This window comes from Homo sapiens, chromosome 3 (genome assembly GCF_000001405.40).
Source record: "Homo sapiens chromosome 3, GRCh38.p14 Primary Assembly".
NCBI lineage: Eukaryota > Metazoa > Chordata > Mammalia > Primates > Hominidae > Homo > Homo sapiens.
The window spans coordinates 70,135,403-70,163,349 of NC_000003.12; the positions used below are offsets into that span (position 1 = coordinate 70,135,403).

General features: G+C 35.4%; 1 long non-coding RNA gene and 1 pseudogene across 13 annotated transcripts in view; both read left to right on the top strand.

Moving 5' to 3' along the window:
- Nucleotides 1-27,947, top strand: part of SAMMSON (survival associated mitochondrial melanoma specific oncogenic non-coding RNA) — a 435,002-nt gene that overhangs the window by 135,815 nt on the left and 271,240 nt on the right. For 3 of the 13 annotated variants that reach the window (NR_186021.1, NR_186031.1, NR_186025.1), the window contains exon 5: nucleotides 2,194-2,265. The exons of the other annotated variants lie outside the window; for them this stretch is intronic. This is a non-coding gene — a long non-coding RNA (survival associated mitochondrial melanoma specific oncogenic non-coding RNA). The remainder of the gene's footprint in view (nucleotides 1-2,193; nucleotides 2,266-27,947) is intronic. 13 annotated transcript variants of the gene reach the window in all.
- UQCRHP4 (ubiquinol-cytochrome c reductase hinge protein pseudogene 4) lies at nucleotides 4,815-5,086 on the top strand (annotated as a pseudogene).

Sequence of the window (27,947 nt, forward strand, 5' to 3'; positions counted from 1 at the left end):
AATAAACATTAGAATGGGTAATTTACCCTTTTTGGGTTTGTAAGAATGACTTATGAATCTCAAAATTCTTCAAAAGGCAACTTAGAGAGCAGAAATACCTTAATGCAAGCCGGAAAAAAACAGACAATGGGCATTTTTGCATAAGTCTTTTTCTCATTAAAGTGATTGATGCATATTTTCTGTGGACATAAAAGATAAAAACACATAAGCCAAAGGAAAGCAATCCTGTTCAATCTAATATCCAGAGACACCCACGGTTAATATCAGTGCATATCCTTCTAGTCTTTTTTCCATACATAAAATTCCTTTTCCAAAAATATATTCTATATGTTATGTAATAACCTGATATTTTACCAAATGAAATTCTGTACTTTCTATGTTATGTATATACTTTGTCAAGAAACTAATAAGCTGAAGCAGTTCATTTTTACTATACCATTTTTCTCCATCTAATTCCTTGCTTCTTGTGTTTAATCACTTGAGCATGTGGCTTATGCAGCTAGATAATTTGCTTTTATAAAATACCCTGTGTTCTCTAAGTGTTTTTTTTTTTGCACTGATTTGTCGGTTGTTATAGTTAAGTTGTAGTTTAAATATACTTTCAATATAATGTAAAGGTTTTTCCCTGCAATACATCTCCACACAAAATTGGAATATTTTAATCAGATTTTTATTTGTAAAACATGGTTAATTGTTAGATTTAAGGCCATGCCCATAGCTATTTTGGTGAATATGTCTGGGGAACGTGTGTAGTTGCCAGCTTCCAAGATGGTGCCCAATGATTGTTGCTTCCTGGTATTCACACCGTTGTGTAGTCCCCTCCCACGCTGAATAGAACTGAGCTGTTCACCAAAAAGTTATTGTGGTTGTGTGACTCCCAAGTCTAGACTATGAAAGGCATTATAGCTTTCTTCTACCTTCCTCTCTTTTGTACCCTCATCCTGGGGGAAGCCAGCTGCTATGACATGAGTACATTGAGTGGATCTATGGAGGGGTTCATGTGTCAAGGAACTGAGGCCTTTGCCAATAGCCATCTGAGTGAACTACTTGGAAATGAATCCTCTGGCCCCAGTCAAGCCTTCAAATGATTGCAGCCCTGGCTGACAGCTTGTCTGTGCCTCTTGAGAGACTGTGAGCCAGAACCAACAGCTGAACGGTTCTTGAATGCTTGACGTACAGAAACTGTGTGAGATAGTAAATGTTTACTTTTTGCTTCAGACCTTTAAATTTTGGGGGAGTAATTTGCCATGCAGTAATAGATAGCTGGTATAAACTGAAAGTAGAGACATGTATTAAGTATTTTCTGAAATAAAAATAGCTTAGGAGAATACTGTATTTTATCAAGAGCTCAGATAAGGTTTAACTATACTTACTAATGCAAAGTGTAGAATTTGAAGGGCAACAATATCTTTAACTTAAGACATTTTATGTCATTGAAGTTTTGATCTAAGTTTTTCTCCTTAGTTTTTATAGTTATGATCAACAGAAAACATATTCAAAGGAAATAAACAATAATATCAACATTTCAATAAGAGTCTTTATGTGTATATGATAAAACTTTTTTTGAAATTTATGTACCTTTTATTTTATCACAATATTATGAGTCATACATAATTGCTGTGATCCAGGAAACCCATAGACACAAAACCAAAAGCTACACATTTTTCTTTTTTGTCTCCCATCTTACGTCCAATGGTAACAAGTTAGATAAACAGTTTGGTGTGTATCCTTCTATAGTCCTTTGGTCATATAGAATTAGGTAAACATATAAATATAGTAATTTTGCCTTTTTTACAAATGTAAAATCATGCTCTACATACTACTTTGCAATATATTGTTTAGAGAAAGTATGTATAGTACAGATAGGTCTAATTTATTTTAAAAAAACTCCTCGATAGTTTATAGAAGAGGTTAGCAAACTATGACTTATGGGCCAAATTTGTCCTGTTGCCTATTTTTATATGGTTTATGAGCTAAGAATGGCGTTTACATTTTTGAATGATTGGGGGAAAATTAGAAGAATAGTATTTCTTGATGTGAAAATTACATGAAATTGAAATCACAGTGTCCATACAAAAAGTCTTATTGGGACACAATCATGCTCATTTTTTTTACATATTGTCTCAACTCACTCGAGTAGTTGCAACAGGAATATTGCAAAACCTAAAATATTTCCTTTCTGGCTCTTTACAGAAAACATTTGCCAGTTCCCAGTCTACACTTACACTGTCCAATGGAAATACAATGCAAACCAGAAGTGTAATTGTAAGTTTTCTAATGGCCACAGTTTTTAAAATAAGAATAATTAATTTTAACATTTTATGTTTTAGTTAACTAGAACATTATCATTTCAGCATGTACTTAATATAAAACATTATTGAAATTTTTTACACACTTATTTTTTACCATAAGTCTCTAATATCCAGTATAGATTTTACACTTCTAGCACATCTTGGATAGCCACATTTCACATGTGACTAGTGACTACTGTATTGGGCAGTGTAGTTCTGTACTGCAGATATATCACAGTTTTTAAGTATATAGCTTGCTAATATACATTCATGTTGTTCTGAGTTGCTATTGTCATTATAAGCATTGGTATCCTTATAAATATTTATTTCTAAGAAATATAGAGTCCCAGAAGAGGAATTGCTGAATAAAAGACGTGCACTATTAATTTTAATAGATACAAGAAATTTGTTTTGGGAATGAGATTCAAATGTAAAAGCATGCTGATTGTAGTTTGTCACAAAAAGTTTTTTGTGTTCTTTATAGAAGAAATAACATTTTCATTGGCACTTTAAAATCTGTATTAAATAAAATCCCCATTTTTTGTTTGTTTGTGTGGTAACTGGCTTAGTCTGTGCCAGCTGCTATAACAAAGATATCATAAAACTGGATAATGTATAAACAACAGAAATTGGTTTCTCATAGTTCTGGAGGCTGGGAAGTCCAAGATCAAGGGACTGGCAGATTCAGAGACCCACTTCCTAGGTGGCTGTTTTTTCCCTGTAACCTCACGTGGCAGAAGGGGTGAGAGATGTCTCTAGAGGCTTTTTTTGTAATCCCATTCATGAGGGCTTTGCTCTTATGTCCTAATCACTTAGCAAAGGCCCTACATTTTAATACTATCACCTAGGTGGCTAGAATTTTAATATATGAAATCATGGGGGGACATAAACATTTAGTCCATTGCATTCTGCTTTTGTTCTCCCCAAATCATGTCTTTCTCACACACAAGATACATTCAGTTCATATCAATAGCCCCCAAAGTCTTATCTCATTCTATCATCAACTTAAATGTTTAAAGTCCAAAGTCCTATCTAAATATCATCTAAATTAGGTATGAGTGAGACTCAAGGTATGATTCATTCTGAATCATGTTGCTCTTTGGCTGTGAATCCGTGAAATCAAACATATAATGTGCTTCCAAAATATAATGGTGGGAGAGCAAACAACATTAAACCTTGAGTCTTTTTAAGTAAAAAAGCTTTTTAGAGACAGAGTCTCACACTGTCACCCAGGCAGGAGTGAAGTGGTGCAATCATAGCTCACTGTAACCTCAAATTCCTAGGCTCAAGTGACCCTCCTGCCTTATTTGAAATTGTGTAAATTAATACATTTTGATATATCTTCATTACAGAGCTACACTCTTCAATACAGTAATCACTAACCACACTTGAAATGTGCTATTCCAGATGTGCTATAAGTATCAAATCTATACTGGATATTAGAGACTTAGTATGAAAAATAAAATCTGAGTAGCTAGGACTACAGACACATGACACCACACCCAGATAACTTTTAAATTTTTTGTAGAGATGGGGTCTTGCTATATTGTCCAGGCTGGTCTTGAACTCCTGGCCTCAAGTTATCCTCCCACCTTGGCCTCCTAAGGTGCTGGGATTATAGGTATGAGCTACCACACCCAACCAAACCTTAAGTCTTGAGAATAATTTTCTTTGGCTTATCCAGACCCACTGGGACAGTGGTCCTGTCTTCAGGACCCACTGTGGTTGCAGCCCCATACCCATGACTCTGGGTAGCCCTACCCCATGGCCTTGCTGGGCATTGTCCTTGTTGGGGCTCCTTGCAATGGCTTTTCCCCACAGGCAGCCCTCTGTCTGGGTCCTGTGGCATAATTTAAAATCTAGGTGGAGGCAGCCATGCCTCTACAGCTTTGCTGGGTGCAGCACATGGGACTCATACCTGGAGTGATTGAGGAGTACGGTTATGGAGTTTGGGGTAAGGAAGCCCATGACGTGATGTGCTGAACAGTAGTGGCCCCTCATTTGAAATTGCTCGGCCCCCTGGGTGTTTGAATTCTTGGCCTGTGATTTTAAGTATAGCCTTGATGTTCTCCAAAATGTCTTTGGGGTCATTCTTCCATTGTATTGGACAATAGAGTGTGCAATACATCTTATTTGGACTTCTATTTAGATGGCTGACTAATCTCCCCATTGTCCTGATGAATAGCACCTGGCTCCATTGAGATAGCTGATCCATGCTACTTTCCTTATCAAATTTGGTCACACCCTTCATGTTCTCTTCCATACAGGCTTTCTCATTTTTTTTCTAACATGAATAGGCTGTGAATTGTCTAAATCTTTAAGTTCTGCTTCCCTTTTCATTAATAATTATTTTGTAAGTCATTTCTCTCTTCTCACACTTTGCAAGAAGCAGTCAAGAGAAGCCAACTGTACTTTCAACACTGCTTAAAACTTTCCTCAGCTGATAAGTCCTTCTTGATTCTGAGGTGGATTAGGTGCCGCTGTTGCTGCTTGAGTGTGTTGAATTCAGAACCATAGCCAGACATGGGACTGGAAGATGAGTGAAAGATACTGACCAGGTCCGAAGATCTCATGGAGGAGGAAGAGCAAGAGGAGGAATTACTGGATCCCCCAACAACAGAAAGAGAGCAATGCAAGCAGCTGGAGAAATGTGTAAAGGCCAGGAGTGGCTAGAGCTCTGTGATGAGTGTATATCCTTCCAGTCACAAAGAAGAGAATGCCATGGAGGAGCTTTGGACTTTTTGCATGCAAGGGACCACTGAGTGACCCACAAACTCTTTAACAGCTTGAAATAAATGTGCAGACATATTTACTTCAGCCTTCATCACCTTGGCATAAGGATCTTTCCTTATGGTTTTGAATATGCCATTTGCTTCTAATTTGTGTAACTGTAAGTTTATATTAACCTCGTGGATTTTGGCTTCGACAAGTAGCTTCTAGGTAATTAGCAGTGATTCTATCTTAATGAAGTTCTGTGATCTACAAAAACAAGGTTTCCTCAGCCAAATATCCAATTTCTTTGCTCACAAATTCTACCTTCCACAAAACACTAGAACATGAACACAATTCAACCAAGTTCTCTTCCAGTTTATAATGAGAATTGCCTTTCTTCCATTGCCCAATAACATGTTCCTCTTCCTCATTTCCATCTGAGTCTTCATCAGAATAGCCTTTATTGTCCATATTTCTACCAACGTTCTGTTCGTGACCACTTTGGAATTCTGTAAGAAGATTGAGGTTTTCTCTACAGCAAACTTTCCTCCTTTCTCTCTGGGACTTCATCAGAATTGCCCTTCGTGGGACATTCATGGCAATGTAGGTTTTTTTTTGTTTTTGTTTTTATTTTCTTTTTCTAGCATGAACCTTGAAACTCTTCCAGCCTCAACGCATTACCCAATTCCAAAGCTGCTTCCACATTTCTAGGCATTTGTTACAGCAACATGCCCACTTCTTGACACAAAAATCTGTATTAAGATTCTCCAGAGAAAAAGAACTAATAAGATCTATGTACATATAAATATTTATTATGAAAATTGGCTCACACAATCATGAGGCTGAGAAGTCCCATGACCTGCCGTCTGCAAGCTGCAGGCCCAAGGAAGTCAATGGTGTAAGTCCCAGTTTGAGCCTGAGGGTCTGAGAACCAGGAGTACCAATGCCCAAGGGCAGAAGAAGATGGATGTCCCAGCTCTAAGAAAGACAGCAAAGTTGCCTTTTCCCCAGCTTTGTGTTCTATTTGGGCCCTCAACAGATTGGATGATACCCACCCATGTTGATGAGAGTGATCTTTACTCATTCCACTGATTCAAATGCTAATCTCTTCTGGAAACACTCTCATAAATACCCCCAGAAATAATATTTACCTGCCACCATTCATCCCTTATTAGTTCAGTCAAGTTGACACACAAACTTAACCATCACAGTAACCAACTTCGGTAGTAAAAATAGTGTATGTTTTTAAATGTCTTACATTTCCCAAACAGTTTCAAACATATTATTTCCCATGATCCTTTGGCAACCTTGTGTAGGATTGTTTTCTGTTTTTTTCTTCTTATTTCACAGCTGAAGACACTGAAACTCAGAGATGTTAAGTGACCTCCCTGAAGACAATACACAGCTAAAAGAATAGAGCCAGGACACAGGATAAGTTCTGCATTAGAGTAAGATGTCCTTCCTAGTGCTATGTTGCCTGTCTAGTTCATTTGTTAATCTATTAAAAAAGTAAACATACAAAAATTTCTCAGCATCACTAATGATCAGGGAAATGCAAATCAAAACCACAAAGTGATACCACCTTACTCCTGCAAGAATGGCCATAATAAAAAAATGAAAAAATAATAGATGTTGGTGTGAATGCAGTGAATAGGGAACACTTCTACACTGCTGGTGGGAATGTAAACCAGTACAACCACTATGGAAAACAGCATGGAGGTTCCCTAAAATCTAAAAGTAGAACTACCATTTGATTCAGCTATCCCACTGCTGGGTATCTACCCAGAGGAAAAGAAGTCATTATACGAAAAAGATACTTGCATATGCATATTTATAGCAGCACAATTCACAATTGCGAAAACATGGAACCAACCCAAGTGGCCATCAATCAACAAGTGGATAAAGAAACTGTGGTATATATATATGTATATGATGGAATACTACTCAGCCATAAAAAGGAATGAATGAATGGCATTTGCAATGACCTGGATGAGATTGGAGACTATCATTCTAAGTGAAGTAACTCAGGAATGGAAAACCAAACATCATATGTTCTCACTCATAAGTGGGAGCTAGGCTATGAGGATGCAAAGGCATAAGAATGACACAATGGACTTTGGGGACTTAGGGGGAAAGGGTGGGAAAGGGGTGAGTGATAAAAGACTACAAATTGGGTGCAGTGTATACTGCTCGGGTGATGGGTGCACGAAAATCTCACAAATCACCACCAAAGAACTTACTCATGTAACCAAACACCACCAGTTCCCCAATAACCTATGGAAAAAAATCTGACAAAAAATAAAAAATAAAATTTATTAATTTTGTCAGTCAAAAAAATATCTTCTTGGTATCTGTTGTGTGGGAAGCACTATGCTCATTCTTAAGGTTTCAGTAGTGGATAAGACCAGTGAGCTCCTGCCCCAGCCAAATCCTGAGGGATATAAAAGGTGGCAAATCAGTGAAGCACCTGTACAAAAGAAACATAATTCAATTGCTTTAAGCATACTTGAGTCCCTATTTCACATGGAAGAAGCCCTTCATCTCATTAGAGGGATTGTGATCAAGTGATGATAAAAAAAGACAAGGACACAGAATGATCTCAGTTTGCCTCCTGAATGAACCACTTAAAGCCTCAAGCACTTTAAATCATTGAGACATTTAACTACTTTCAGGGATGCATGAGAATTTTAGACTTGTTACTTGACCATTTGCTTTCCCAACTCCAAGCCCAGTCAGTTAATATAATGGTCAAATGCAAGTATAGTTCTTGTAACTATATTTGTTAGAAAGTAACATAATTTATCCATGTGATGAAACATCTGGGCTTGGAATTCTAATGTACAACATCAGTCTTTCAACTGGCACTAGGAGAATCAAAGGCTTGAATTTTAGTAAAAAAAAAAAAAAATACACGAGACTTATAACTATTTTCTCCATAAGAAGAATCAGGGTATATGTGTGAATGTGTGTGTGTGTGTGTATAATGGCCAGTGGAGGTGGAATTATTTCAATTATGAAATGCCCAATAAGAATTTTGTTTTTCGTGTACCCATTCTCAATGCTTTCAGTTGTCTGGCCATCCCTCACCCTGCCAATCTACTCTCTATTCTTCTCTACCCTGTTCCTGGCTCCAGGAGGTTCACCTTTGTGGGTCAATCCATTGCATCCTATTGGGTTTGGCCAATGGGGGTTTCCAGCAGAGAGTAAGAGGGTGGAAGGAGAGTGAAGTAACACTCCAGCAGTTTGCTGGGTGAGAGTAGAGGGTGTTCTTCACAGTTACTTTGGAAATCACTCCTTCCTTGTAGTCCTTCAAGTCAAAGAGTGAGCTCCCTGCAGTTGCTAGCATTGGTGTGTTTCACCATTCTTTGTTGATTTCCCTGAACCCTGACCACATCTTTGTAAATAATTTCTTTTCAACTCCTCTCAACATTCCTTTGATGTAGCAACTGTTTTCTGCTGTCCTGCCAGGACAGCATATGATAAACTTCTTATTTTGTGAGAAGTTATTGTTTATTATTATTTGTAGACCTTTATAAGTACATAAGTGGCAGACCATCATTTTGACTTTTGGTAAACATTTTTGAAGACAACTTTGGATTCCTATCAAAGTACACTTAGATATTCTTAAGTTGCTGGAGTATGCATTGTATGCTAACTATGCATTTAAAAACAACTTTCCTTGGTAGAAGAACTCATCAAAAAATATTTGGAAAGGGCAATGACCTTTTGTAAAGACATCCCATTTAAATGTTTTATATTTTTACCTTGACTTTTTTTCATTAAACAATATGCATTATTTATTAATAAGGCCATTCACAGGGACAGGCAGCAAATTGGCAAATTGGCCTTTCCATTAAACTTTTAATGCTAACTTTATAATGAGTATGCTGAACTGCTATATATAAAATAATTCTCTCTCCCCTCTTTACCCATACAGAGAAAAACTATAGTAGGTCCCAGTGCTGGTGTGTATATACAAGGTCTATTTCTTTCTGAATGCTTTTCTGATCTAAATTAATAAAATTCACCCCTTCCAATGCTGCTGTCATCAGATTCCCAAGTCCATTCATTAGAATTATGTATGCATGTATTTCAAGTTCATATCTCCCCCTGTGGAATCCTGAACTTTATCTAAAATGTCCTCCGAAATATACTTAAGAAATAAAAATCTGATTATGTTACTGATATGGTTTGGCTCTGTGTCCCCACCCAAATCTCATCTTGTAGCTCCCATAATTCCCATATGTTGTGGGAGGGACCCAGTGGGAGATGATTGAATCATGGGCACAGGTCTTTCCCATGCTGTTCCTGTGATAATGAATGGGTCTCACAAGATCTAAATGGTTTTTAAAATGGGAGTTTCCATGCACAAGCTCTCTCTTTGCCTGCTGCCATCCATGTAAGATGTGACTTGCTCCTCCTTGCCTCTGCCATGATTGTGAGGCCTCCCAGCTATGTGGAACTGTAAGTCCAATTAACCTCTTTCTTTTGTAAATTGCCCAATCTCGGGTATGTCTTTATCAGCAGTATGAAAACAGACTAATACAGTTACTGTCTGCTTAAATGTCTCTTTTTGCTCCCTGTTGCCCACCAACTAATTCTTAGGGCCACACAAGTATGTTTAGAATCTGTTACCCATCTTTCTCCCCTTACCTCCTGCTTTGCTCCCTTCTTCTTCATTCTTACCCAGGACTGCTGCAGCCATAGAAAATCTCAGGTCACAGAAAACCCAATGCGATTATTATCCTCCAGATGCCCTCACATGCTGAATTCACCTAACAACAGAATTTCAAAATTCCTGAAGCAAAAACTGACAGAAATGAAAGGAAACAGACAAGTCCACAATTGTAGTTGGAGATTTTAAACTTCCTCTTAAAGCAATTGAAAAACCTAGCAGACAGCAAATCAGTAAGGCTGCAGAACTGAACAACACTATCAACCAACTGGAATCAAATTGACGTTTTTAAAACCTTCCATCAAAAACCAACGGAATAATAGCCTTTTCAAAGTATGTAGAGCATCTTCAGGACAGATCATATCCTGGGACATAAAACAAATCTTAGCACATTTAAAATAGTTGAAATCATTAAAAATGCTCTCTGAATACAATGTATAAAACCAGAAACCAATAAGAGAAAGATAACAGAAAAAACTCCAAACACTTGGAAATTAAGCAACACACTTCTAAATAATCCATGGGCTGAAGAGGAAATCTCAGGGAATTTGGAATATATTTTGAACTAAACAAAAATAAAAACAAAACATAACAAAATTTGTGGGTTGTAGCTAAAACAGTACTTAAATGAAAATTTATAGCATTAGCTGCTTATATTAGAAAAGAAGAAAGATCTCAAAGAATTAATCTTACCTTCCACCTTAAGAAACTAGAAAAAAAGAGAAATGTTAACCAAAATAAGCAGGAATGAAGAAATAATAAAGATAGGAGAAATCAATGAAATTTAAAAAATAGAAATAAAATTAAAAAATAAAAATATCAAGTGAAACTGAAAGTGGATTCTTTGAAATATCAATAAAATTGACAATCCTCTAAGAAAACTGACAAAGAGAAAAGACACACATTCTTAACACCAGGAGTAAAAGAGAGAACATCACTACAGACATTAAAAGGATAATAAAGGAATACTACAAACAACTCAAAGCATACCAATTCAGCAAAATAATTTACCTTTTCCCCAAAAACTATAAACTGCCAAAGCTCACCCAGTACAAAGTGGGTAATTTCAATAGTCTTCTACTATTAAAGATATTGAATTCATAGCTAAAAACTTTCTGAAAAAGAACTCTTCAGACCCAAATAATTTCACTGGATGAGTCCACTAAACATTTAGAGGAGAAATAATCCTAATTATGCCCAATCTTGAGAAGCGGAGAAAATACCTCCCAACATGTTTTATGACACCAGAATACCCCAATATTAAAACCAAAGACAGTACAAAAATAGAAAACTATAGGAAAATATCTGTCATGAACATAGATACACAAATCCTCAGAAAATATTAGCTAATCATATCCAGCAGTTTATAAAAATTAATACACCATGACCAAGTGGGATTTATTCTGGTACTGCAAGGCTGGTTCAATAGTTAAAAGTCAATCAATGTAATCCACTAGATTAATAGCCTAAATAAGAAAATCCACATGAATATATCAATTGATGCAGAAAAATGATTCCACAAATTTCAAAACCATTAATAATAAAATCTCCCAGCAAACTAGAAATGTAAGAAAATTTCTTCAATCTGATAAAATCTATTTTTTAAAAAACCTACAGCTAACAACCTACTTAAGAGGCTGTCTTATAGAGAAATGTTCTCCCTTTAAGACAGGGGACAAAGCAAAGATGTACACTTTCCTCACTCTTATTCAACATCACACTGCAAACCAAGCTAGGAAAATCCAGTACAACCAAGCTAGAAGAAGAAATAACAGGCACTCATATTGGAAAAGAAGAAATAAGACCGTCACCTATTCACAGATGATATAATTATTAATGTAGAAAATCCCAAGGAATATTTAAGATATTCTCAGAAATGAGTGAGTCTATCAAAGACAGGATCCATAATCAACACAAAAATTGATAGTATTTCTAGACAATATCATTGAAAAATAGGAAACCAAAATTTAAAAAATTACTGTTTATGATAGCTGCTGCAAAATGGAATACTTGGTTACAAATCTGACAAAACATCCTTAAAAGCTATTTGCTGAAAATTATAAAACACTGATGAAAGAAATAAAAAATGAACTAAATAAATGGAGCTACATCTGGTGTTCATGAATTGGAAGATCTATACATAGTGAAGATATCAATTATTTCCTAATTGATCTATAGATTTAATAAAATTTCATTTGAAATTCAAGAATATTTTTTTGTAAGAATAGAATGTCTGGTTCTAAAATTTTTATGAAAAGACAAGAGATTTACAATGGTCAAAATCAATTTTGAAAAAAGAATAAATCCAGAAGAATCAATCTACTCAATTTTTGGACTTACTGTATAGCTGCAATAGTCAAGACTGTGTGTTATTGTCAAGGGATCACACGTAGATGACTGGAATATAGTCCAGAAATAGACCCACATGAGTATACCAACTGAGTTTTTTAAAAAGATGAAGCAATTCTTTGGAGAAAGCATAGTCTTTTCAACAAATAGTCTTGGAACAATGGAAAAACCATATGCAAGAAAATAAACCTTGACCTAATCTCATACCTTATATAAACATTAACTCAAAATGGATCTTTCATCTAAGCATAAAATTATAAATCTTTTAGAAGAAAACATGGAGGAAAACTTTGTGATCTGTGGTTAAGTGAAGAATTCTTAGACATGCCATCAAAATATAATCAATCCCTAAAAGAAAATAATTATATGTTGGACATCATCAAAATTAAAATCTTATGCTCTGCAAAACACATTGTTAAGAAAATGAAAATCAAGCTGCAGCCTGGGATAAAAGTATTTAAAAATTACATTTCCAACAAAGGACTTATAGCCTGAATTTATAAAAAACCCTCAAAACTCAATAGTGAGAAATTTGAAAATGGGCAAAATTTGGACAATTTACCAATGAGGATACACAGAAGGCAGATGAGCACATGAAAAGATGCTCAATATCATTATCCATTAAGGAAATGCAAATTAAACCCAAGATCAGATGCCACTATACATTTTTTGGAAAGGCTATAATTAAATACCCTGATTATACCAAGCACTGGTGAGAATGTGGAGCAACTGGAATTTTCAAACATTACTGATGGGAATGCCAAATTACATAGCCATTCTGGAAAATAGTTCAGTGGTTTCCAGTAAAGTTAAATACACACTTATATAACCTAGCTATTCCCTAGTAGGTATTTACCTTAGAGGAATAAAAACAAGTTCACACAAGAAACTACACATGAATTATTATCCTCAGAATGAAAGTACGTTTTGTCATGAAAGGTAATTTGTTTCTTATTCTTGCAGATATTCAATTACAGAATTAAAAATCTTGTGCAATAGCTTGTACAAGTAATTTGTCTTAGTCTGTTTGTGTTGCTATAAAGGAATACCTGAGACTGAGTAATTTATAAAGAAAAGAGGTTTATTTGGCTCACCATTCTGCAGACTGTGCAAGAAGCATGGTGCCAGCATCTTGTGAAGGCCTCAGGCTGCTTCCACTCATGGCAGAAGGTGAAGGGGAGCTGGTGTGTGCACAGATCATATGGCCAGAGAGGAATCAAGAGACAGAGAAGGGATAGGTACTAACCTCTTCTTAACAACCAGCTTTCATGGGACCTACTAGAGCAAGAACTCACTCACTACCTTGAGGGCAGCACCAAGCCATTCATGAGGGATTCATTTCCCTGACCCAAACACCTCCTACTAAGCCCCACCTCCAACACTGGGGATCAAATTTCAACTTGAGGATTGGGGGAACAAATATCCAAATGATAGCATGATTCCTGCAGAAAGCGTGATGGTTTGGAATGGATTTCTGAGATTATGCCATCTGAGATTTGGTGAAATACCAGGAGCCAGAGGGATGTGAATGCATCTATTATGGAAGGCGAGGAATAATGCTGGTTGGCTAAGTTGTGCAGCACATTGCGTCGCTCACAAAGAACAAGTTCCATCAAAATTATTCTAAAGACACCAATTTTGGAGCTTGATCTATCAGGCTAGTTAGAAGTTCTGAAAATTGTTTCTCAGCAGAAGGTCAAATGTGGTGAAAAGAGTGACTCCCAGTTTATTTATTTTTAAAATCTTTCTTATAGCTATTTCCAATAGGTGTTTAGTTTACAAACCATTTATGTTGATTTTGATGTAAAGCTGTTAGTCTCTTTATATACCAGACAATTCCTTAAGCTTCTCTGGTCTGTTAGGGGACAAAGCAGAGCTAGTAACCCTGAAGCCCTTTTCTAGTTTGCTAATGTAAAGACGCAAACCTGCTTCTACAGTTAGTAGTGGCTTAGAACAGTCCCTAATCATGTGTTTGAGCCTGTGGTTCTTAGTTGATGGCCTAGACCAGCAGCATCAGCTTCAGCTGGGCGCTCATTAAAGATGCAAATTATCAGGACCCACCCCAGACCTACTGAAGCAGAAACTTGGCAGGGGGTAGCAGGTGGGGCAGGCAGAAAGCCATGTTTTAATAAGCTTTCCAGATGATTCTGATGCAAGCTAAGGTTTGGCTGATGCATGCTAAGATTTGACAAGTATCGTACAGTTAACTTTGCTTCTGATTTATTTCAAGCGGGGCTCTGGACAAGCTGCCAGAGGTGATTTTTAGGCCATGGGGAATTTGCATTATGTTGTCCCAAGCTGTCTTATCATACAAGTTCCACTTGGACCACTATTGGCTTAATTCAACATTAGGCATCAGAGAAATCAAAATTCCATCATAGGTCTGTCCATTTCCTACTTACAAGTTATCTTGGTTTGTGGCCCCAAGTTACAACCCCTGATCAGAAAGCAGAAACCCAAACATACACTACTCTTCAGCTCTTATGTGATTAGCTCATTATTAGTCCATTTAAGAAGGCATACTCTCTAAATTACGTGTCCAGCTCTTTCTTTCAAAACTTAATCATTACCCTCTCACCACTCCTTTTTTTCTTTTTTAAATTTCCAATTGGTAGTTATTGTCTCGTGGTGCTTGCCAGACTGAGTTTAAAACTTCACTGTCTGTTTTAATATCTCAGTTGGTTGCCATAATATGACTGTAGAGGTTTTTCGAACCAAAAGTATGTCTGCCAAGTAAAGCTTTCTGTCTGAAACTTGAATGTGACATGTTTCCTCATCATTTAAAGCACTGTTATAATTAAGGATTGGTGAACCCTTTTTCAGTTTCAGTTAGTTGAATGTCTAATGTTTATTCAAACATCCTGGTTTCAATAAAAGCTCTAAATGTGAGTTGCCAGCACTTTTTCCATTAACTTTTAAATCCCTGTGTGTTTCAAGGGAAATACAGTTCGTATGTTTCTGATTCATTTACACTTAACTCATCAGAATATTATTTTGCTAGAGCTAGTTCTTATCCAAGTATCACGTACCCCTTGAAATCTTTAGAGATATGATGTTAGTTAAAATACTGCAAAATAAAGACCAAGCTGAAGCTTGGAGGAGTTGAACCATAGTTGGCTTTGTTTCTGAATTTGGCCCCAAATACCATATGTTTAAATTTGAAATAGATTAGCAGGATTCATTCCATTATTCTAGAAAAAAAATAGCTATTTACTTTGTACTCTGGATGTAATCGCATGCAGAATATTATTAGAGGTAACTGTAAGATTACATGAGTGACAATAAACTACATGTAATACCATTGTTTTAGCTTCAGTGATGAGGATGCCTCATTTTGTAAAACGTGCATATGAAGAGAAGCCATGTGCCCATTTAACAATGGAGCCTGGGAAATATGGAGGGAAAACAATTGGCTAGCTGCCATCCCCTTAAAGGCTACAAATAACAAATATCCAGGAACACAGAATCGTGTGAATAAATGTTCAATTTTTTGAGTAGGGCTATACTAAAAAATGTGACATTCTGGGTTATCAGATTAACAGAAATATATATATCTATATGTAGATATATAGATATACACACAAATAAATGTTTTAAAATATGTATTGTTTACATGTTTCTATTAGCATCCAGCCAGGAAAACAGATCCACTTTATTTCAACAGAGAGAATTTAATGGAACTGGTTAAACAGGTATGAGAAGTCTCAAAAAGCAAAAGGAGAAAACTGAGGTAATGAAAAACTAATGACTACAGGAAGCAGCTATCATGCCTAAGACTTGAAGAAAAAGGGGAAGAAGTTGGGGTTATCACACCAGGAATCTGGGAAGAGACTCCTTGGTGCTGGAGCTCAGACTTCTGAGGATGGTGTCGGGGTGTTCAGCTGGTGGAAGTACTTTTGGGTTCTGCTCCATGAGGCTGGTTCTGGGAATGCTGAACAAAGCTGGATGCTAGAAATGATTCTTTGCTACTGCCAGCATAAAGAGCTCTATTATTATGAGTTACAATCCCAACTGGATTTCTGTTGATTTACATGTATTTGTCATCCTTCAAGTTGAGATGCTATAAGGCTATGTTTTCCTCCTTTCTTTGCCTCAGTCTCTAAGAACATCATCCTCAACCACAAAACAGAACCAATAGTCTTTGCACTACCCATCTTTATGGTGTCTTGGGAAAATAAAGAAATGTTAAAACACTTGGTAAATGATAAAACAGTGATACATTTTAGTATTTCTTTACTTCAAAATACAATATTCAAATAAGATAAATGTAAGAAAAAATTGCTTATAATGCCGTCATCTCATCATGTAAATGGGTTGTTTTTCTTTTTTTTGCATAATCATTCAGTTTTATTTGCTTTCTGCTTTTATTGTCATTTTAAACATGAAGCTCTAGAATTTTTGACTTTGAGTACATAAGTGAATTGTTTCTCAATCTCTCTAAAATAAGTCTAAAATTTTTAAACATAAGTTTGTTTTTTATAGAAACATATATAGAGGAAGGAAGCAATTTTAAGTAAAATCATATTATTAAAAAATAGTGTTAAGGATGTTTTACAGCTGCAGATCACAGCACTAGAAGGAAAGCATAGCTGTGTTTATAAAATTCTAAACAGAAATATAATTCCATGTTCCTTGATCCTTTTTCCTAATTATGCTGCTTTTATGCAGGTTAGAGTAAAAATATTTATAAAATAAGATACAGTTCTGGCACCTGTTGCAGAAATATGTTTATCCTTAAAATTTTAAAATATTACTCTATTGAAATTGAACACTTGATTTGCGATACCATGAAAAAAAATCATCAAACAATTGGATTTCAAGTCACCATATCAAGTATATGGCTTTGAGCATTGACAGTCCCTAAAAGTATGAATAGGTGGCATTTTCTGAATAACAAAATGCCATTTCAATGCCCCTTGCATTTTTGAATTTTCATTTAGTAAACCAATGTACAAGTTGAGTGAAATGCCTACTACCAATGGATCTTTTTTAAGCACTCTTCTAATCAAAAGTGACAGTGGGTACCTTCTTCTATATGTCCTAAACAAGTATGGTTTTTATAATTTTTCTTTTACTTTTTCCATCAAAACATATAGTATTGGCATGTTATTTTCTGCAGACCCCAAGGTGCTTTATTATCTAACCCTCTCTGTCACCATCACTAAAAGTGGGTGGCAATGGACTATTTTCCCCTTGAGATATTGTCGGAATAGACTGCCTTTATGTGTATTATTTTCTTAGTCAATGAGCTTTGGAAGACAAAAAGCTATCAGTCTGCTACTCAGTGACTTGCTTCAACACAAAAATACCCTTAGGGGAACCACAGTGACTGGTAGAGTAGAAGGTATTGCTTCATGTTTAGACTTTTCCAGTGAAAATGAATTGGAAAGTTAGAGCTGTTGTAATATGGGGGCGTTCCAGGGGGAGTGCCACAATCAATTGGAAAAGGGAAATGTGAATTTGAAATAGCTATTTGGTCTTCCCACTCCACTAGCAGAAAATGTTAAAATTGTGTCTGGTCTGAAGCATTCACAGTCACAACTGAATTTCAGTAGAAGTGTCTCATGCGATGCGTAAATGTATGCAGTCGTCATTCCATTGGCCCTTTAATGAATCTGAAGGAATTGCAGAGCCAACACATTGTCCCTAGAAGTTATATATATTATACACATATATATTTTTTCTCCCAAGGAAATGATCCCAAGGTGAGGGGCGTTATTCTGTCAATATAAGAGCCCTTGGGATGTCAATGAAGTGTTTTTTTAATCCTCACCCCAGCCCCGCCCAAGTTTTTTAAATGACTTTACAAAGTCAAGAGCGGTCTCTAATATGGTTGCACTGACAGTATATAAGGTTTGAAAAAGCTGTCACAGCATCAATCAAATGTCAGCTCTACAGAAACTTTACAATGTCAGTGAAATTTTCCCTATTAATGCTCAGGATTTTCTGTTTGGGGGAACCCTGCAAGTCACAGAGCATTCTCTATAGCTCCAGCTCACTGCAACGGATACCACTGAGGAATGTTTTTGTGGTTGGGTCAATTTCCCATTGTACCTATTAAAAGTGAGGTCATAAATTTAAAAAAAAAATTATTGAAATGTGGCCTTCACCTGGGGAACATGAAAGAGATGAAAGAATACAAGTGGGATTTTAATAAACCGAAAGTAATCTTGTAATCAGGGAAAACTACATTTAACTACACCTAAACTATATTAAATATATTCTATATTTTTGCGATTTTTAAAAAACTCTCAACATTCTTTTTACTATGGTAAAATATCATAATATAAAGCATACCGTTTTAATCGTACAGTTCTGTGGCATTCAATGCATTCACACTGTTGTGCAGCCATCACCAACGTTCCTCTCCAGAGCTTTTTCATCGTCTCAAACTGAAACGCTGTACCCACTGAACTCATTGAACAATAACTCCCCTTTCCCCCAAAACTCCCCGTTCCAGAATACTTATTCTACTTTTTGAATTTGACTACTCTAGGTACCTCATATAAGTGGAATCAGACAATATTTGTCCTTTCGTGTCTGACTTATTTCACTTAGCATAATGTCTTGAAGTTTCATTTATCCTGCTATTTTTTTTCAGGATGTTTGTTCTCAGTATTAAATGCTGGAGCTTCTGTAATACCAAAATACTCCTTGAAACTGACTTTTTTTTTTCCAGCACAGTGTTAGGGGCTATTTAAAGCAACATTTAATTACATTTAAATCAGAAAAATGTATTAATCCTCATAAACAAATCACTGTCCCATATCTTCAAGTATTATAATAATAGCAATACTATATAGGGATTTCTATGTGCTAGACATAATTCTATGTACTTTGCATGTGTTAGTTTACTTAATTCTCAGAATATTCTTACAAAAGTGGTCTATTATCTTCCTCATCTTATAAAGAGTAAACTGAGGCAGAGGACAGGTCACTTGCCTATGACCATACAACAAGTAAGTGGCATAGCCAAGTCATAAGGCCAGGCTGTCTGGTCCCAGAGGCTGTGCTCTTAAGCACTGTATTACATTGCCTCTCATGTACCCCTCCCACTAACAAGAGACTATACTTGAATTGATCTGGGGTTGGGTCTGAGCGCTCATCAGCTGTTAAATCTCCTCCAGTGATTCCAGTTGTACAGTCAAATTAAGATTGCCTGGGCTAGAGCATAGGAAAATAATAAAAGATGACTCTGGGTACTTGAGCGAATGGCCTTGAACATCAGTCTCCTTAAAGAAGTTTGACTTTGATTTAGTTAGCAATGGAGGAAACCATGAAAGTTTAGGGTAGTTATATAAGCTGAACTTGTTTTAAGAAAGTTAACCTGGTAAAGATTTTAGTAGTCACTTATGGTGGAATCTTATGGTAGGCCATGCTACTTTTGTTGACTTTGGCTTTACCTTTGATCCTATGGAGAGGGGCATCCCCAGGGACAACTTAAATATAGGCTGGAGAGAAAAATGCATTGGGGAGGCAATATCTAAAGGGTAGGGGTTCATGACATGAAACAGAATAATGTTTTAGGACAGCAAAGGAAAATATGAGAGGTATGGACCAATCAGATCACTTGATAACATTTCATGTTTTTTTTTTTAATTTGCTTATTTGTATGTTTAGTGGTCAGATAGTTCTGGTGGATATCATACACCTATATTGGCTTACATATATTAGCTTTCTTTTCTCTCAAAATGCTATAATAGGTACCTATATCTGCAACCTCGGTCAGGTCACCTATTTGGGCCTCATTTTCCTCATTTGTAAAGTATGGTTTCAAGGGTCCCTAGGGGCCTTTGGGTATTGACATCACGACTCTGGGGGTTGGGGTTTATTTCTCTGGATTATGAAATCCCTCAGCCCAATGCAAAGTTCCAGGGTAGCCTAAGGCCTGAGGAAGGAAGCTCTTTCAGGAGATAATGTTATCACATTAGAACTGGGCCATAATGGAAGATGGAATCCTCATTCCTCTTCTTGTTGAGACAGTCACTGGTGATCCATCTTTTGCCTCTGTCACCCTAATTTAGGTCATTCCTATTGTGAGCCTTCTCAAACAGTACCTGTCTGGGTATAAAATTTATGTTGAAGAAGCATTAATGCAAGCTCTTAATAAGATGAAGAATTTAACAGCATGGTGTTATCTGAGGATGATATATTTTATATACTCAAGGCATGTTTAATTAGGTTTGCAGAAGTCAAATTGGCTTGGGCAGTAATGAAGCTTTCTTTCTACCCCTTTCTTTCAGATTCTGCTGTAATAACATACAAGCCATTCTTAACAATCTCCTTTTAGTTTTGGTATGTTGGCAAATCAGTCTCTCTCTTTCTTTGTTCTTGCAAAACTGATTTGTTTTGAAAATCCAGTTTCTGCTTAGGGTGGAGGGCAGAAGAGAGAGCTTATTGAGAAATACACAATGGAACAAATAATAGGGCTAATAGGTGTTAGAGCTCCTCAAATATTGAACATGCATCCTTTTGAAATAGAGTTGCTAAATATTTAATAAGCATTTACATCTAAGCAGCACTCAAGGGTTTCATAACCTTTGATCCTTGCTCCCATTTTGCAGATGAGGACACTGACTGCAGAGTTCAAGCAATTTGCTCAAAGCTTTATGTGTTGGAGCCAAGACTCAAAACGAACCCTCTGCCCTGAATCCCTGCCTCCTTCCAAACAGAAAGACCCAAGTTTAATTTACTAAGTCCATTCCCCTACTTAATGAATAAAAGAAAAGATGAAATCGACTAACCAGGTGGTATCTTTGAACTTCAATGGTCGGATGAGGGTTTGTTTCTGGTGCACCCACCCATTCAGAGCTGAAGAGGAAATACAATGAACATAATAATGAATTTGAATTTTGATCCCAAATCACTGAAGTATTTTCATACTTGTGGTCTCAGTTATTTTTTCAACATGACTGTGCAGTCGAGTATTTTGAGCCCAGTGTATATTTGAAAGTCTCTCTTATCCAGGGTCAGTCACACACACAGTCAGTGTTCAGGCAAGGTCAGGAAACTGCTGCTCCAAGTCTCCAACTGGGATAACCATGAAGTTTTATCAAAATTTTCAATAACTCATAATTGATAGAGACAAGACCAAAGAATAAATGAGAAAAGTGAAGATCTTATCAAAAGTGACGAATAATGGAAGGATGTAGGTCGTTATCTGTTGTAAATGTATTTTAAAAAAAGAAGGGGGCAATTTAGAAATCGTTTGAAGAATGAAAACCTTAGCAAGAACAGTTACTTCCTGTGATAAAGACAGGTCTTTTGGTTGAAATTTTGATGTCTAAACTTCTGGAAAATGTCTGATTTTTTTTCTTTTGGAAGAATTATGGAAAGTGAAAGAAGGGGAAATATTCTTACAAAGCATCCTTCTACTTTAAGAAACAGAAATTCTAAGTTGTTGCTAATAAGAAAGATTAATTGTATCAACTGTAGTCCATGGCTTCATTCACTAATTTGCTACTTAATGTTTGCAGTATTTTGAGAGAGTTCAATAGAGTTTAACAGAGGGGTCAGAATTTCTTTACAAGTTAGATATTTAACACACCTAAACTTATTTTCTTGCCTATTTTTGCTGAGTCAATATCTACTAGTCTTGGATTCTTAACCCTTTCGAAAGCAGGGTAAAAAGATATAGTCATGGGCTTCTTTGTCAGCAGCTAAAGAAGGATGTTAACAAATATACTTTACAAATACCTTAATATGTATTTTAAAGGACTTTTACTTTTTCCTAAACATTTTTATTTATTCCACAATCTCTGAGCATTGCTTGATGCAAATATATGACCATAAAGATTTTATCTAGATTCAGGGAGAGTAATTGTCAAATCACCTGCCACTCTGGCTACGAGGAACGATGGTGAAGAAGGATTTAAAAGTTACACCTGAGCTGACGAGGCAAGCGTAGCATGATTCCATACCTTAGAGCCCTCAGGCAAGGGGGAGTGTGGTAGCACATGAATCAAAATATACGCTGAGGAGAAGGTAAATGGCAATAGTATGACTGTGCTTATCATTCACATGAGTGATATGGATATAGTAATTTGCAAGAGTTTAGGAGAGAAAGGTCCCTAGTGGAATGAAATGCTTAGAAGGAGCTTGAAAAATAAGTAGTTTTGGTGGCAGGAGAGGTAGAGACCTTTAGGTGAAGAGAGTGACAATACAATTGCCAGATTAAGAATGTCTAGGGGTAATCGTTTAACAAAAATGGCTGAAGCAGAATTTATTTTGCAAAAGCCTAGACATAATTTGAAAATGTAGCTAATGATTTTAGCTACCAATGAGTAAGGATTTACTCTACGCCTAGCATTTGCTGAACGCATTATGAACCCTGCCTCCTTTAATTCTCATAACGATCTTGCAAGGAAATGCCATTTATTGACCCAATTTTACAGATGAATATTATAAATCTCAGAGAGGCAAAATCACTTGCTTCAGTCACATCACTGATCAGTGGAAGAGTCAGATTTGAAGTCAGATCTGTCTGACTCCAGAGCCCCCACTCTTGTACCCTCACAGTTTTTGTGTCTTGGGTAAGATAAAATCAGTGTGTATTTTATAGAACTTTCAGTTTAAATGTTAGGTTGAGCTTTGGATGTTTTTAATAATAACTTCATTCAGCATATTTAGCATATCAGATAATTTACCCTTTTGACGTGTACAGTTCCAAATTTTTAAAGTAAATTTACCAAGTTGTGCAACCATCACTACAAACTAGTTTTAGAACATTTTTATCATCCTGGCATGATTCCTCATGTGCATTTGCTGTTAATCCCTCTCCCTTGTCCCTGCTCCCACCTCCAGCAACCACTAATCTATTTTCTGTATTTATATCTTTGCCTTTTCTGGGAATTTTATATAAACGGAATCATACAATATATGGTATTTTGTGTTAGACTTCTTTCACTGAGCATAATGTTTTTGAGGTTCATCAGTGCTCTAACATGTGTCTATAGTTCATTCCTTTTTATTGTTGAATAGTATTCTGTTGTATGGTTATACCACATTTTGAGTATTCATTCACCAGTTGATGAACATTTAGGATGTTTCCAAGTTTTAGCTATTATGGATAATACTGCTAAGAACATTCATGTTCAAGTCTTTGGGTGGACACTTTTTTTTTTTAATGCAAACAAGAAAAGTAGTACCTTAAGTAGGGAAATACATGGCTTTTAGTAAAAGCATGGGAAATTTCCTGCTTACATAGAGAAATTTAGACACATCAAGAGAAGCCAAGAGTATAGAATCAAGAAAAACATTGCTTGTAACTGTAAATCCACAGTTTAGGAGATGGTTGAAAAGTTTATTTTTAAAAAAACAGACTTTAGAGTTAAATCAAAACCTCTTGCAAATTTTACTGAGTAGATTAATACTTTAGGAAAACCTTGCTATTCTAATATAGGGGACCAAATTTATACTTTTGTATTAGTGTATTTTTAATATCAAAGCTCAATATTTAGAAAGACAAAAATAATTTCCTTTTAATTGTAGGCAACTTGTAAAAATTTCCTCTATATATTTGTCCTTTCCAAACCTTTTGTGACTTACTCAGACTTTTCATGACATGTTTATATTTTCTGTTTTTTTCCTATACTTTTTAAAAAATTGACCAGTCATTTTACATTAGGACAAAAATTTATCATATATTATTATTGTTTACTTAAAATGATTTTCTTTCTACAACCTTTTTTGATACCCAAAATATATTTTCATACATGTAAGGTTTTTATCTTTTCCTTTTACTTAGTGATTTTTTTTTGTTATACTTTAACTTTTAGGGTACATGTGCACAATGTGCAGGTTTGTTACATATGTATACATGTGCCATGTTGGTGTGATGCATCCATTAACTGGTCATTTAACATTAGGTATATCTCCTAATGCTATCCCTCCCCCATCCCCCCACCCCACAAGAGGCCCCAGTGTGTGATGTTCCCCTTCCTGTGTGTGGACACCTGTTTTCATCTCTCTTCAGTATATTCCTAAGAGCAGGATTGCTGGAGTTATGTGCTAACTATATTTAGCATTTTGAGAAACTTCTAAACTATTTTCCAAAATGATTGTACCATTCATACATTGATATCAGCAGTGTACGAGAGTACCAATTTCTCTAATCTTTGCTAGTATTTATTATTGTCTGACTTTTTTTTTTCAGATGGAGTCTCGCTCTGTCACCCAGGCTGGAGTGTAGTGGTGAGTTTTCGGCTCATGCAACCACCTCTTGGGTTCAAGCGATTCTCCTCCCTCAGCCTCCCAAGTAGCTGGGACTACAAGCATGCACCACCACACCCAGATAATTTTTGTATTTTTAGTGGAGGCGGGGTTTCACCATGTTGGCCAGGATGGTCTCAAACTCTTGACCTTGTGATCTTCCTGCCTCGGCCTCCCAAAGTGCTGGAATTACAGTGTGAGCCACCGTGCCTGGCCCTGACTTTTTAAATTATAGCCATTCTAGTGAGTGTGAAACTGTCTCCTTGTGGTTTCTATTTGCATTTTTCTAATAACTAACGATGTTAAAGAGCTTTACAAGTGCTTCTTAGCCATCTGTATGTCTTATTTTTTGATTAGATTGTCTTATTGAGGTGTAAGATTTCTTTGTAATTTCTGGATATAAATTCTTTGTTAGACACATATTTTGCAAATATTTTATCCCAATTTATTGCTTTTATTTTTGTTTTCTTAATGAAGTCTACTGAAGTACAAACATTTTGAATTTTGATGTGATCCAATTTATTAATTTTTTTTGTTTTATGAATCATGCTTTTCATGTTATATCAAAAAAAAAAACCTTGCCTAATACAAGGTCTTGAAGATTTTCTGTTTTCTTCTATAAGTTGTATTGTTTTAGCTCCTACATTTAAGTCTATAATCATATTGAGATAATATTTGCATGTGTTGTGAGGTAAGGATTTCCTTCCTTCCCTTCCTCCCTCCCTCCCTCCCTCCCTTCCTTCTTTCTTTGCAGTTTTTTGCAGGCAATAGCTTATTGTACCAGTACAATTTGTTAAAACTCGAATTGTTTCTTCAGTGAATTTCTGAGGTGGGTTTGTTGAATATCAATTGACAATCGACCATTCATAGAAGGATATATTTTTGGACTCAACTCTCTTCCTTTGATCCATATGTCTGTCCTTATGCCAGTATTATGTTGTCTTGATGACTGTAGCTTGGTAGTAAATTTTGATATGAGTAAGTGAAAGTCCTCTAACTTGGTTCGTTTCTCAAACTCCTTTATCATCTGGGTCTTTCCCTTTCCATATAGATTTAATGATCAGCTTGTCAATTTCTGAAACCGCAACAAGGAAAAGCCTGATGAAAATTTGAAAAGTACTGCATTGAATCCATAGATAAATTGGAGCATAATTACCATCTTAATTCTGACTCTTCCAATCCATAGATATAGAATATCTCTCCATTAGTTTAGATCTTCTCAGCAATGTTTTATAATTTTCAGTATAGAAGTCTATAATTTTAAATTTTATTCCTAAATATCTTATTCTTTTTGATGCTATTGTGAAACATATTCTCAATTTTATTTTTGGATTTTGTATTCATATGTAGAAATACAATTTAGTTTTGTATGTTGATCTTGTATCCTGTGACCTTGCTGTACTTCTCAGTTCTAAGCTTTGGCTTTGTTTGTGGATTTCTACACATGGTATCATGTTATCTTCAAATAAAGACAATTTTATCTCCTTTTTTCCAGCCTAGATGTCTTTCTTTTGTATGCCTTTCATTTCTTCTTCCTATCTAATTGCACTGGCTTAAACTTCCAGTACATTGTTGAAAAGAGGTGGTGAGAGAGCATTCTTATCCTGTTCCCAATCTTAGGGGACTTCCTTCAGTCTTTTATGAGGAAGTATGATGTTCACTGCAGATTTTACGTAGATGCGCTTTATCACATTAAGGAAATTCCTGCCTATTCCAAGCTTGTTGAGAGCTTCTATCATGTATGGATGTTAGAATTTTTTGAATGCGTTTTCAGTATCTATTGAGATGATCATGTGGTTTTTGTTCTTTCTCTGTTACTATGGTGTTTTATATTAATTGAGTTTTAGCTCTTAAACTATCTTACCATTCCTAGCATAAATTCCACTTGGTTGTGTTAATTCTTTTTATATGTTGAATTTGGTTTGCTAACATTTTGTTGAGGATTTTTGTATCTATATTCATGAGGGATATTGGTCTGTGGTTTTTGCTTTTTTGATGATGTATTTGTTTGACTTTAGTATCAGCCTTCTTAGAATGCCCTCATAAAATGATTTCAGAAGTTTTTCTTCCTCTTTTATTTTCAGGGGAATTTGTAGAGTATTGATATTATTGCTCCTTTAAGTGGTTTATAGAATTCACCAGTGAACCATCTTGACCCAGGCTCTTCTTTCTGGCAATTAAATTATTTTCTTTATTTGTTATTCAAATTTTCTATTTTTTCTTGAGTCAGTTTGAGTAATTCATTTTTTTAAGAATTTATGTCATCTAAGTTATCCAATTTGTTGACATAATGTTGTTCTTAGTACTTTATAATTATTTTAATTTCTAAAGATTCAGTGGTAATTCTGCTCTTTCATCTTTAATTTTTGTGATATGTGTCATCCTTCTTTTCTTCCTGGCTGAATTTTGCTTTTTCAATTTTGTCAGTGATTCCAAAAAACAATGTTTTGGTTTCATTGATTTTATTTATTTATTTTTCTGTTTTCTAATTCAATGGTTTTTCACTCTAATCTTTATTGTTTCCTTTCTTTTGACTGCCTTGGGCTTAATTTCTTCTTCTTTTTCAAGGATCTTAAGATGTAAGATTAGTAAATTGCTTTGAGATCTTTCGTCTTTTTAAATATAGGCATTTAAAACTATAAATTTCTCTCCAAGCGTTGGTTTAGGTGAAACCCACAAATTTTGGTATATGTATTTTCATTTTCATTCTGCTCAAAATACTTTCTTATTTCCCTTGTGATTTCTTCTTTAACCCTTGGGTTATTAAGAAATATGTTGTTTAATTTCCAAATGTTTGTGGACTTTACAATTTTTTTTTCTGTTACCGATTTCCAGTTTAATTCCATTTGATTGAAGAACATACTTTATATGATTTCAATTATTTTAAATGTGTTATGATTTGTAGTATAGCCTAGTTTATCTGTCCTGGAGAATGTTCCATGTGCACTTGAAGTAAATATGTATTCTGCTGTTTTTGGGTGGAATGCTCTCTAGATGTATGATAGATCAAGTTGGTTGGTAATAGTGTCCAAGTCTTCTATATCCTTGCTGATTTTATGTCTAATTGTTCTATCAGTTTCTGAGAGTGTAATATGAAGTGACCAACTATTATTTTTGAATTGTCTCTTTCTCCTTTTATTTCTGTCAGGGTTTGTTTAATGTATTTTGAGGGTCTGTTGTTAGATGCACATATGTTTATAACTGTTATATATTTTCCTGTTGAATTGATTAGTTTATCATTATAAAATGTTCTTCCTCTTTGTCTCTAGAAATATTTTTTAATCTTAAAGTCTATTTTGTCTAACATTGGTATAGTTACCCAACTTGTTTTTTGTTTACTGTTTGCATGGTGTTCCTATTTCTATTTTTTTACTTTTAATCTTATTTTATCTTTGAATCTAAAGGGTATCTTTTATAGGAAGTATATAATCGAATCCTTTTTTTTCATTATCTAGTCTGACAACCTCTATCTTTTGATTGGATGCTTAATCTATTCACATTCAACGCAATGATTGATATAGTATGATTTATTTTTATTTTGCTATTTGTTTTCCATATATCTTATGTCTTTTTTGTGTTCTTTGTGCCACCACTACTGCCCTCTTTTGTGTTAAATATATATTTTAAGTGTACCATTTACATTTCTTTATTTTCTGACATATAAATCAGAACTATATATATATTATCTATCCATCTATATAGAATATATA